Genomic DNA, 12,918 nt, shown 5'->3' with positions numbered 1-12,918 from the left:
ACTTTGGGAGGCCGAGGCAGGTGGATCACGAGGTCAAGAGATCGAGACCATCCTGGCTAACACGGTGAAACCTCGTCTCTACTAAAAATACAAAAAATTAGCAGGGCATGGTGGCGGGAGCCTGTAGTCCCAGCTACTCGGGAGGCTGAGGCAGGAGAATGGCATGAACCCGGGAGGCGGAGCTGGCAGTGAGCCAAGACCGTGCCACTGCACTCCAGCCTGGTGATGGAGCGAGACTCGGTCTTAAAAAAAAAAAAAAATTAGCCAAGTGTGGTGACATGTATCTGTAGTCCCAGCTGCTTGGGAGACTGAGGTGGGAGGAGCACCTGAGCCCAGGAGGTCGAAGCTGCAGTGAGCCTGGGCGACAAAGCAAGGCCTTGTCTCAAAAACAAAAACAAAAAAAGCTCTGTATGTGTTCGTGGGAATGTAAATTAGCCACTGTGAAAAGCAGTTTGGAGGTTTCTCAAGAACTTCAAACAGAACTACCATTTGACCCAGCAATTCTATACTGAAAGGAAAATAAATCGTTCTACCAAAAAGACACACGTACTCATATGTTCATGGCAGCACTATTCACAATAGCAAAGACATGGAATCAATCCGGGTGCCCATCAGCAGTGAACTGGATAAGGAAAATGTGGTACACATATACAATGGAATACTACGAAACCATAAAAAAGAACAAAAGCATGTCCTTTGTAGCAACATGGATGCAGCTGGAGGCCATCATCCTAAGCAAATTAACACAGGAAAAGAAAACCTAACACCACACGCTCTTACTTCTAAGTGGAAGCTAAACACTGAGCACTCAAGGACACAAAGATCAGAATAACAGATACTGGGAACTATTGGCGGGGGAGGGTAGGAGGGGCAAGGTTTGAAAAACTAACTCTCAGGATTATGCTCACTACCTGGGTGATGAGATCATCTGTATGCCAAATCCCAGTGACATGTAATTTACTCATGTAACAAACCTGCACATGTACCTGCTGAGCCTAAAATAAAAGCCAAATAAATAAAGTGTTTTGACTTTTATTTCCAATGGGGCCTTATCTGGAGTTGTTGAAGAAAAAGAGCATTAATTCTCAAATGGGCATCTTTCTAAATAAGGATGCATTTAAATGGAAACCTCCCCATCCAAGGAATCCAGAAACCCAGAGGTGCCACTAGGTCAGACTTGGGACTCATCCAGGGGGCAGGAGCTCGAATTTCTACCTTAGGAGTTGGCACCAGATTCTGTCTCCTGGTCAGCCTGCCTTCTACCCACTCCTGCTCTTAGGGCAGAGGCTTGGTGTGGGTGGAACAGGCTTGGTGTGGGTGGAACAGCCCCCTCTCGTGGCATACCTTTTCTCCAGTGTCTCTGCATTCACATTTGCCCAGGGGGAACAGGGGGTGAAGAAGAGAAAGACCAACCAAGGCACTTTCAACTGCTCTTGGCAGGGAAAATGCATACTACACCATTACAAACAGCAGAAAACAGAAAAGCCACCTAAATGTCTGATAGAGGAATGCCGTTCTCAAATTAGAACTCTAGAAGATAAAGAAAATATACACACAAGTAAAAGTTAATGATATATACTTCAAGGCTCTAGAAGGACGCATATGAAACACAGGCAACAGGTTCCCACGGGAGGGCAGGATGCGCTGAGCGAAGGGAGGGGATGGGTTTTCCTTCATTTACAGATAAAATGGTATACTTTCTAGCTAACATATTTGTGTAACGCTAGCCCTAACCCTAACACTAACCCCTTCTGCCCAGGGCTGACTTTCAATAGATCACAGCCAGGGAGCTGCTCTGCCATGGGTGAAACCCCGACAGCAGACTGTCATCCAGGAACAGCCTAGCACTGCGTTCCCTGCAAACGAACACACCCGCGTGACTTGCGTAATCTTAGAAAACAAAAAACTCAGCCTCTTGTGCCCTGAGGGATAACTTTCTCCCTTACTTCTTATCACTAAGTTGATGATAATATAAAATCTGATTTCTCCCATATCCCAGCAAGCCACAGGCTCTGATAAGGTAAGGACTACAGAAAGACAAATGGGTGGGAGCAGCAATACGCGGAGTCAAACTAAAAAGGCCACCTGGGACAGCTCTCGCCTCAAAGAAATGAATACCGTCCTTATAAACCCTCTGGGAGTGCCTAGACACCTGTGCCAGCTTCGATAACACGGGCAGCTTTCTGAACACAGCTACCTGGGTGTGAACTAGGTGAGGGCAGAACCTCACTTCTTTCCTCTTGTGGTGTTTCTACCGTGAGCTGCTCTGTCAGTGGGAGACTTCCTCTCCAGAGAGGCGGTGACTAACAGGACTTGTGAGGCTGGGGGCAGACCTGGGCATCACTGCCCTGCCTGTCCTCTTCTGCTTTGGGCAGAGCCCACCAGAGAAGACGTGTCAACTCCGCTCCTCCATGCCGCCCTCATGGTGGCCACAGCAATGGCAGCGGGCTAGGCTTGGCCAGAGCTGTCCAGGGCTGTGCAAGAATGCTTCCGTAATTCCCAGGCACAAGAGTAGGACCCCACCTGCCTGCAAACAAAATCCACATTCTCAGCCAGGTGTGGTGGCTCACACCTGTAATCCCAGCATTTTGGGAGGCCAAAGTGGGAGGACTGCTTGAGCCCAGGAGTTTGAGACCAGCCTGGGCAACATAGTGAGACCTCATCTCTACAAAAATAAAAAATAAAAATTAGCTGGGCATGGTGGTGCAGGCCCATAGTCCCAGCTATTCAGGAAGCTGAGGTGGGAGGACCACTTGATCCCAGGAGGTCAAGGCAGCAGAGGCCCTGATCGTGCCAATGCACTCCAGCCTGGGTAACAGAGCGAGACCCTGTCTCAAAAAAAAAAAAAAAAAAAAGATCCACATTCTCCAATATAAGCTTTGTCAGTACCAACAGTGATATTTTCAGCTCCTTTTTCCTTTACTCTTTTGTCCTATTTTTCAACCAGTTCAGAACTCAGGGGGAAAGAAGGGCTCGATTTAATGGGCCCTTTTGAATTTTTAACAGTGAGTAAGTTGGTAGAAGCCCAGATTCTTGTTAACTGCCAGATATAAAAACCAGTATCAAGTGTACCAAACTTTATAGACATCAACGGTTTTGTGAAAGGGCCCAGCCCAAGCTCCTTTACAGAATGTAATTAGCAGTAACACTCAAGCTCAACAGAGCACCTGACGGCGAGCTGACCCAAGACCGCTCTATGAAGGACGCTGATCTGTGCCACGTACTTATTTTGAAATTGATGGCCTTCTGTTGGGCCCTAGAGTAGAATTTATCCCTTTAAAAAAATCAGCAAAAAAGCAAGCAATCTTCTTCTCCTTCCAAATCCTAAATCCTATCAGTCCAGTCACTGGACATTGCATCTAAACTGTTTCTTAATTTCCTTCTTCACACATTGTAAATCTGAACTCGAGACACATATCATAAATCAACTTTATATATGCATGTCTAGTCAACAACAATACTCTCTTATACTTTGACAATGACCCCCCATACGCTTTTTATCATCTTGTTAAAGAAATCGGCTAGAAACAGTAAAAGGCTTTTGCAGCTTTTATTGCGTGTTCCTAAGCCAATGATTCAGTAGAAGGAGAATGGTTATCACTAAGCTAAACATAACTCATCCTCCCTCCTCTGGTTTCCAGTGGTTAGACAAAGTCTGTATTTTGCTGCTAACATAACAGTCGGGGTGGTAGGACTGTCTCCTGACAGATGGTATTGATAACTTCTTGTGGGATAACCAGCTGTGTTGTACCCCTGCTCCTTTTTAAACCGTGCTTAATAACATGTCATCAGTTTTTTCTTTCTTTTGAGACAGGCTCTCACTCTGTCACCCAGGCTGGAGTGCAGTGGTGCGATCTCCTCTTGCTGTAGCCTCAACCTCCTGGGCTCAAGTGATCCTCCCACCTCAGGCTCCTGAGTAGCTGGGGCTACAGCCACGCACCACCAAGCCCAACTAATTTTTTTTTTTTTTTTTGAGACGGAGTCTTGCTCTGTCACCCAGGCTGGAGTGCAGTGGCGTGATCTCAGCTCACTGCAAGCTCCGCCTCCCGGGTTCATGCCATTCTTCTGCCTCAGCCTCCCAAGTAGCTGGGACTACAGGTGCCCGCAACCATGCCCAGCTAATTTTTTTGTATTTTTAGTAGAGACAGGGTTTCACCATGTTAGCCAGGATGGTCTCGATCTCCTGACCTTGTCATCTGCCCGCCTCGGCCTCCCAAAGTGCTGGGATTACAGGCGTGAGCCACCACGCCTGGCCTAATTTTTGTATTTTTTGTGGAGATGGGTTTTCACCATGTTGCCCAGACTGGCCTCGAACTCCTGGGCTCAAGCAATCTGCCTGCCTTGGACTACCAGTGTTGGGATTACAGGTGTGCGCCACCATGCCTGACCAACATCAGTTTTAAATAAACTGGATACATCACTCCTCCTATAGAAGATGGGAATGTAAGGATGGCTGGTATATATAAGATATAATGGGATTTTATAAACTGAACCTAGAAAACACTAAGTCTTTGATGAATTAACAAATAAATGGGAAGGAGGAAGAAAGGAGTGCTCCTAGTAGACAGACCCTGTCATGCTAATTGCTATGAGAAAGCCACAGTTTTGGTAAGCACACTCTGCTTCCTAACTGTCCGAATGTTAACTGGACAGTGGACAGAGGGTCAGCCATATTCTCGGGGATGTGGCTTCAAGTCCTTCTTCTGAGGGGCTCATGAGGAAGTTACTTTTCTAAGACTTGCATATCCAATGGTGACTTTACTGACCTTTTAAAAATGGCTGATTCTCTAAGATTTTGGCACACTAAAATCACTGTGGCCATGTCCCAAAGACTCCGCTTCTACCATCTGTCTGTCCACGTGTGTGGAACAGCTGACAGCCAGCCATTCTGAGATATTTGTTAGGCTGAGAGGAAGTGGTCAAGGCCGCCTGCTCTTCAGCACATGACTACGTGCCTTCTATGAAGATCCATACAAACTGCTGACCCAAGAGATTATCCCGGGTCTTAGCACCAGGAATAACTGTGTGAAGCAGTTGTCTGACCATCCAGTTTAAAAAAAAAAAAAAAAGCATTTGAACTTGTTTTTAAATTACATAAGTAACACACCTACTTGGAAGAAGCCTGAAGGGTAGAAAACTTTAGCAGCACTGAAATGGTCTATTTCAGCCACATGTGGCGGACTTGTGGGTGTTTGTTTTATTGTCATGGTTCCTAGCCTGCATATGCAGCACATATGTTGTTTTGGATGCAGGAAATATTACATAATAAAAGTTATGTAACTGCCCTCTCCTGCTTTATAAGCACTGGGAATCATGTAACTGCTCCTGTTTCCCTTTTTGCACAGACTGCTGGAAAGCTCAGAGCCCAGTCTGCAGCCTGCCTCTCCGGAGAGGCAGCTCACAGCATATGCATTTTTTGTACCAGCCTTAGCCCTTGCTGACTTTTATTTTTTCCACCCTTATTTTCCCTTAACCACAACTGCTTTACTTATTTTTATTTTCTACCTTCTCGTTTCTCATATTTATGTTTTCTCATATTATAATAAACTTCTTCAAATCTACTTGAGAATTAGGTAGGGTATAAATTTTCTTTTAAATACTAAAAGAAAGGCTTCTGTTTATTAAGACTCTAATACTATATTAATGTGCAAACCCTCACTTAAAAGCTGTGGCTCTGACCCACAGGGCTGTCTCAGGATCACACAGGAGCCTCATTCCAAATCTATACAGCTGGCTTCACAGGGCTTCACCCACGCAGCCTGTGAATGGGGCAGCAGGTTGGTGTGAGCTCCTGGCCCGTGGGTTCCTGTACTTTGAAGACTTTGAGAGACAACAGTGTCTCTCCTGGTTAAGAATGCCTGCCTCAAAACCATGGGCCTTCAGGTGTGCTAGTCTAAGGAGGACACACGATCACCGACGTCGTATTTGGCCTAGGTGATTCAGGGATGCATAACCCGAATCTAATTATAAGGAAATATCAAACACAAAAGGAGAAATGTTCTATTTTTTTTTTTTTTTTTTGAGACTAAGTCTTGCTCTTGTCCCCCAGGCTGGAGTGCAATGGCACAATCTCAGCTCACTGCAACCTCTGCCTCCCGGGTTCAAGCGATTCTCCTGCCTCAGCCTCCCAAGTAGCTGGGACTACAGGTGCCCACCACCACGCTTGGCTAATTTTTGTATGTTTAGTAGAGATGGGGTTTCACCATGTTGGCCAGGCTGGTCTGGAACTCCTGACCTCGTGATCCACCCGCCTTGGCCTCCCAAAGTGCTGGAATATTACAGGTGTGAGCCACCGCACCCAGCAAAATGTTCTATTTTTTTTAAAGGGGGAAAATTATATTCTTCTAACATGTTAATGTCATGTAACTCAAAGAAAGGCTGAGGAAATGTTCAAGATTAGAAGAGGCTAAGAGCTGTGCCAACTCAATGTGACAATTGACCCTAGATGACCAGAGGACGGGAAATGCAGTGAAGGACATTATTGACTCAACTACCAAAATTGGAAAATGGACGGTAGATAAGAAGGCTGTATCAATGTTAAATTTACTGAAGTTGGTAACTGTATAGTTATATGAGAGAATATTCCTAACCTTAAGAAATACACACTGAAGTATTTAGGAGTAAAGAGTCATAATATATATAATTTATCCTCAAATAGTTCAGAAAACAGATTTTGTGCATATGTGTGCGTGTTCACTTGTGTGTAGAGACACAACAAAGGAAGGGGCCAATGCTAGCAGCGGGTGACTCTGGGTGAAGGGTATACCAATGTCCTTTGTGCTACTTTTGCAGTTTTGCAATTATTCCAAGTAAAAAGTTAGGGGGAAAAAAAGTGTCCCTGCTTTAGACCACACAATTTCCACTATGGCAGTGCTTTTAAAAAAGGAGAATAAAGTTTCCATCCACTCCTACTGATCCCCAACCCTGGGAACCCCCACTGAGTGGCTGCAACTGGTAGGCAGAACACGCCTCTCTCCTCACCCTCCCTAGGAGGCCAGCTTTCAGCTGTACCCTCTTCAAAAACAGATTTATTTTCCTTCTAGGAGTTTCTAGACTTCAAAAGCCAGCTTAAATGCAGCCTCTTGCATGTTATTTTTTCATGCTATTTTTAAAGTTACATTCTTTTTAAATTTGGGGGGATAGACCACGGGCACCCTGCCCTGAGCGCAGAGCCTCACCGTCCCAGGCCTCGTGAAGTCCACACTATGCGCCAGGCTCTGCCGCATCTGGTTACTGAACAGGCGGACACAGACGCTCTGGAGGTACTCAGGGGTGATCTGCAAGGAGGATACAAAGACATCTGGTGATGGCATGAAACTCACTGAGGGACACCTGAGGCACGCTGGCAATTGTTAGAGTGGTCTCTCAACAGCTTTCTGTAAGGCATGATGATGAGGTATGTAAGCCAGAAAAATAATCATTTGCTTTAACATCAGAGCTCTTGGGAGGAGTGAAAGTACCGGCCCTGACAGAACAAGGTGCTAACACACTGCAGGTGTGCTCATGAGACATCAGACTGCAAATTAACTGACTCCACTTCAGCTATCTCCACTGTCATGTAGAATAAACAGATCCTAAACCACTTTGGTAAATTCATGTAACAAAGTCACTGGACAACCATAATGTGGGGGAAAGAGAGCCAAGCTTCAGAACTGAAGATCAGGGCTCAAGTCCTGGACTCGAGAAGACCAACAGCTCTGCCTCTCGCTTTCCACACCTTTATTGTAACAGCCACAGTGAGCAGGTAAATGAGGTCACAGATATGCCTAGCACATGACAGGTGGCTTGGCCAGTGCTTGCTGAATGAGTGATGGAAACGCTTTTAATCAACTATCCAGTGCTCGACAACGTGCGGCTGAGCTGCTGTCGCCATCAACGCTGCTGGATCCTGCATTCTCCTTTAGCATCTCTTGTGCCTCTCTCACCAGCTACGAGAATTCAGGATTGACATACAACATCGAAAGTGGTCATCTTGGAGTTTTTTTCATCTATTTTCTTTTTAAAAAAATAATGTATGCTCATTTCAATGTACAAGTACCACAACCTCTCCTGAATCCCACCCTTCCCCCACAAACCAATCCCTGCGGATAATGACTATTAAAAAGTGTACACCCTTCCACACTTTTTTCTAGGCATGATAATTGAAAATAGTCTCCTCTTCCGCAGCTTCATGATTCCACCTGGGGGAACTTCCATATGGCAGTAGAAGCGGCTGCTCTCCCACCCCTTGCTCATCCACTTGCATGGGAGGAAGGCCATCCCCCAGGACTGCGTGGGAAGCAGGGCTACTCCACCCCTGGGGAGCTGGAAAGGGCTGGGCCCTTTTCTCTCCTCCTGGGCCTCCTGCCTATCTGCTACAAACTTCTGGTCTGCTTCAGCCACATAAAAGGCTCTGTCCATCCTGTGGCAGAGGTCTGTCACCCTTTGTTACATAGCTACATGTGAAGTGACTCAGAGAAAAAGGAACCCCATCCCAGGGCTAGACCTCCTATATTATCCTGAGTCCATTCCTTCTGAATTCCTATAGTAAATTTCTATAGTATTAAAATTTCAACATTCATTTTTCAGGCCTGGCATAGTGGCTCATGCCTGTAATCCCAGCACTTTGGGAGACTGAGGCAGGCGGATCACTTGAGCTCAGGAGTTTGAGACTTGCCTGGGTAACATAGTGAAATACCATCTCTAATAAAAATAAAATAAAAATTAGCCAGGCATGGTGGCACACACCTGTAGTCCTAGCTACTCAGAAGGCTGAGGTGAAAGGATGGCTTGAGCCTGGGAGGCCGAGGCTGCAGTGAGCTGAGATTGCACCACTGCACTCCAGCTAGACAACAGAGTGAGACCCTGTCTCAAACAAACGAACAAAAAAACATACCTTTTTCATCTTGTATTTTTAACCTTTCTTTCTATACTTATTCCTTCCCTACAACTAGAAACATGTTCACATATATTTCATATTAAAAACATACCTTTCCCGTCTTCTACCCTAGATTTTCTTCTTCTTCTTTTTCACCCTAGATCCTTATCTATCAATCACCCTCTCAACAGCTTCTCTTTACAGCCAAGGTCCTTGAAAGAACCGCTTGCATTTACTGTCTCAACCCACCTTCAACTTTCAATACAATGTGACCAACTTTCCACCTGCGTTCCTCCATGGAAACTCGTGTGGCAAAGCTCACAACCAGTGAGCTTCTAAGTGTCAAAAACACTGGATACTTTTCAGGTCTCTTCTTCTGGAGTTTTCTGTGGCTTTTGAGACTTTGGATCAAACCCTCAGTTCTGAAACTGTTTCCTCCTTTAACTTCTGAAACTGCTAGCAGAACCATTTCTCTAACAAGCCAATCTGATCATGTCACTTTCTTGCTTAAAACAGGAGAATGAGGAAAGAAAATGGATGACTGACCAAAAAAAAAAAAAAAAAAAAAAAAAAAAAAAAAATATATATATATATATATATATATATATACATATAGCCAAGAACAATACATGAAAATATACTCAGCCTCATACATAATTAAAGAAATCTAAATTAAAATATGCAGAATGCCAAGTTTTACTTACCAAACTGACAAAGATTTCAAAGTTTAGTCCTATTTGGTGTTGCCGTGTGTGGAGAAATAGGCACTCTCATACACTACTGGGGGAGTAGACATTGTTGATATTTTAGGACGAATAATTTAGCAACCTCTATCAAAATGCTCATGCCCATACCTTTGCCCTAGCAATTCCACTTTTAGAATTTTATCAAGATGTACAGTATTCACAAGGATGTTCACTGCAACATTTTTTTGTTATAGCAAACAAAAAAACAAAAAATCTAAATGTTCATCACCAGAGATCTGATAATGATTCACCCTTATAATGCAATTGTGTATAAGAATTAAAAAGAATGAGGTGGATCTGGTCATATGGAAAGATCTCCAAGATATATCGAAAGAGAAATACCAAGTTTCAGAAGAGTAATGCATCATATGATCCCAACTAAGGGTACAAATGCTGTACGCATGTGTGTACACACACACACACACACACACACACACACACGCATACGCAGAGAAATGTTCTAAAATAATACACAAGACAATGTCAGTCTTGAACATCAATAAGGAAATGAATCTACAGCATTGTGGTGAAGGAGCTTTTGCTCCTTACTACACGCTTCTCTGAACTGTTTCAATCTTTTACCAAAACAACGCGGTTCTTTTACATTAGAAAGGCTAGTAAAGAGTCCAGCTTTCCTCCTCTGACCCATCTTTTTTTAAATTAAATTAAATTTATTTATTTGAGACACAGTTTCACGCTGTTGCCCAGGCTGGAGTACAATCTTGGCTCACTGCAACCTCTGCCAGCCGGGTTCAAGAGTTCCTCCCGCCTCAGCCTCCCGAGTAGCTGGGATTACAGATGTCCTCCACTACACCTGGCAAATTTCTGTATTTTTAGTAGAGACGGGGTTTCGCCATGTTGGCCGGGGCTCTGGTCTTGAACTCCTGACCTCAGATGATCTGCCCACCTCAGCCTCCCAAAGTGCTGAGATTACAGGTGTGAGACACCATGCCTGGCTAATTTTATTTTTAATTGTATATTTTTAGTGACAGAGGTCTCACCATATTGCCCAGAGTAGTTTCAAACTTCTGGCCTCAAGTGATCCTCCCGCCTTAGCCTTCCAAAGTGCTGGGATTACAGGCGTGAGCCACTGTGCCTGGCCTGAATTATTTTTTATAACTGCAGTGTGAATCTACAGTTACTTCAATTTTTAAAAAATCTGTATGTCCACAAATAGATTTTATTGTACTTTATAGAGTCAGGAATGAGATAAAGATGCCCATGATGACATTATTCAACACTATCCCATAGGCCATAGCCAATGTACTAAGAAAAAAAAGTTAAGATAAATTTTAAAAGCAAAACACAAATATTATTTGATGTAACATGACTGTCAATCTAGAACACAGAAGAATAAATCAAAAAACCCAAGATTAATGGGATTCAGAAAGGTAGCTGGATACAAAACCAATATTAGAAAATCAGTGGCTTCCCTATATGACAGCAGGGCACGTGCCCCTCATTTTTTTGCTAGCACATATTTTTCTGTTGCCAGACAATTTATCCTTTGCTAATATTAATAAGGTAGAGGCTGGGTGTGATGGCTCACACCTGTAATCCCCAGGACTTTGGGACGCCAAGGTGGGAGGATCACTTGAGCCCAGGTGTTCAAAATCAGCCTGGGCAACAAAGCAAGACCCCGTCTCAATATTTGAAAAATATATTTTTTAAAAAGGGCCAGGCGCAGTGGCTCACATTTGTAATACCAGCACTTTGGGAGGCCAAGGCTGGCGGATCACCTGAGGTCAGGAGTTCGAGACCAGCCTGACCAACATGGAGAAACCCTGTCTCTACTAAAAATGCAAAATTAACTGGGTGTGGTGGCACATGCCTGTAATCCCAGCTACTCGGGAGGCTGAGGCAGGAGAATCACTTGAATCTGGGAGGCGGAGGTTGCAGTGAGCCGAGATCACGCCATTGCACTCCAACCTGGGCAACAAGAGCAAAACTCCATCTCAAAAACAAACAAACAAAAAAGAATAAAGTAGAGAAATAAAGATATGGCAGACAGTATGTTAAGAAAAATGGGTAAAACACTGCAAGCAGCTTGATAAAAACAGTAAAAAATATCAGCTTTATCTCCTTCATGCATGTTGGCTTTTGGAAATAGAGCAGCAGGCGCCACTGGCTTGGAATGGAGAGAGGCAGGCTCCACCTGCCATATCAACATAGTCCATGCCTATAAGCCTTCTTCATTGCCAAACAGACATACACACAATTAGGGATCTTCCTTACCATCTTGCCGCTGACTGTGGCCTCTAGAGAATCCACCAGCTCTGCTGTGACTCCAATGAGATTGTGGTAGTCGGCCTGGATCTTATTGTACCGTTTGAGGTATGTCACTGACCTACGTTCAGCTTCAACCAGCTGCTGGTGGAGCTGCTGCAAGATTTCTAGGAAGACAGTTAAAACAAACAACATCAATAAAAATCCACAATATGAAAAATAATTGTATTCTTCTCAAAGAACTACCATACTTATTGCCAGAATGTTTTCTTGTAACAATAAACTGGACACTACTTGTGTTTCACACTTACTTCTATTTTATGCCACATTTATTTACATAGTGCTTTGTAACCACACTGACTTAAAATTTCCTTTTCAGGAAGTTCAACCCAATCCTCACTGGGCTTCCTAAGAAAATCTATTCCCTTGACTGAACCTCATGCAATTTCTTTTAGTTCTTCTAGGTCTAAGAAAATAAACATGTCTAGGGCTGGTGGTGGCTCACGCCTGTAATCCCAACACTTTGGGAGGCCGAGGCGGGCAGATCACTTGAGGCCAGGAGTTGGAGACCAGCCTGGGCAACATGGTAAAATCCCATCTCTACTAAAAAAATACAAAAATTTGCCAGGCATGGTGGTGCTCGCCTATAATCCCAGCTACTCAGGAGGCTGAGGCACAAGAATCGCTTGAACCTGGGAGGCAGCAGTTGCAGTGAGCCAAGATCGCGCCACTGTCCTCCAGCCTGGGCAACTGGGCAACAGAGTGAGACTCTGTCTCAAAAAAAAAGAATGTTTTATTCTATACTGAGCTCATAAAATGCCTGAATCAAACCTGTGTCTTTTTCTCTGTTTTTGTATTATGAAGTTGTCTGGGGGACAATTCATATCTGCAGGACACTTCTTTATTTTAAATAAAACTTTGGGCTGCTTGACTCCTGCTAGGAAAAACAAGAATCCAGAAGGAGAAGAGATTCCATCATTCTGCCAGTTTGATAAAGCATAAAACCACTCCCACCAGGCCTTACAGCAAGCAGCTTAGAAGGCTCTAGGATTCTTTGCTTGGAATCCCCCCGTGGGCAGCCCTAAAGAC

The 12,918-nt window shown here is 44.2% G+C and overlaps 1 protein-coding gene across 10 annotated transcripts in view, besides 1 other annotated feature; it reads right to left on the bottom strand.

Annotated features, from left to right (window-relative positions):
• ARMC9 (armadillo repeat containing 9) overlaps positions 1-12,918 on the bottom strand; it is a 178,218-nt gene that overhangs the window by 129,629 nt on the left and 35,671 nt on the right. For 8 of the 10 annotated variants that reach the window (NR_148040.2, NM_001271466.4, NM_001352754.2 and 5 more), the window contains exons 8-9: positions 11,839-11,996; positions 7,179-7,277 (exon numbers count right to left, since the gene is read on the bottom strand). Coding sequence is in view for 9 of the 10 variants with exons in the window: in NM_001271466.4 (NP_001258395.2) it covers positions 7,179-7,277; positions 11,839-11,996 (257 nt within the window). In the remaining variant the exon portion in view is untranslated. The remainder of the gene's footprint in view (positions 1-7,178; positions 7,278-11,838; positions 11,997-12,918) is intronic. The other 2 variants (NM_001352757.2, NM_001352758.2) reach the window with 1 other exon arrangement.
• Positions 7-725: an enhancer, noted in NCBI's record as "H3K27ac-H3K4me1 hESC enhancer chr2:232111208-232111926 (GRCh37/hg19 assembly coordinates)". NCBI's record gives its function as "activates a minimal SCP1, AML or CMV promoter by ChIP-STARR-seq in primed H9 embryonic stem cells {active_cell/tissue: H9 hESC(primed)}" and the evidence as "EXISTENCE:reporter gene assay evidence [ECO:0000049][PMID:30033119]".

The sequence above is a fragment of the Homo sapiens genome, chromosome 2, assembly GCF_000001405.40.
Source record: "Homo sapiens chromosome 2, GRCh38.p14 Primary Assembly".
Taxonomy (NCBI): Eukaryota; Metazoa; Chordata; class Mammalia; order Primates; family Hominidae; genus Homo; species Homo sapiens.
The sequence above is the reverse complement of the archived record's forward strand: the minus strand, read 5'-3'. Positions and strand labels throughout refer to the sequence as shown.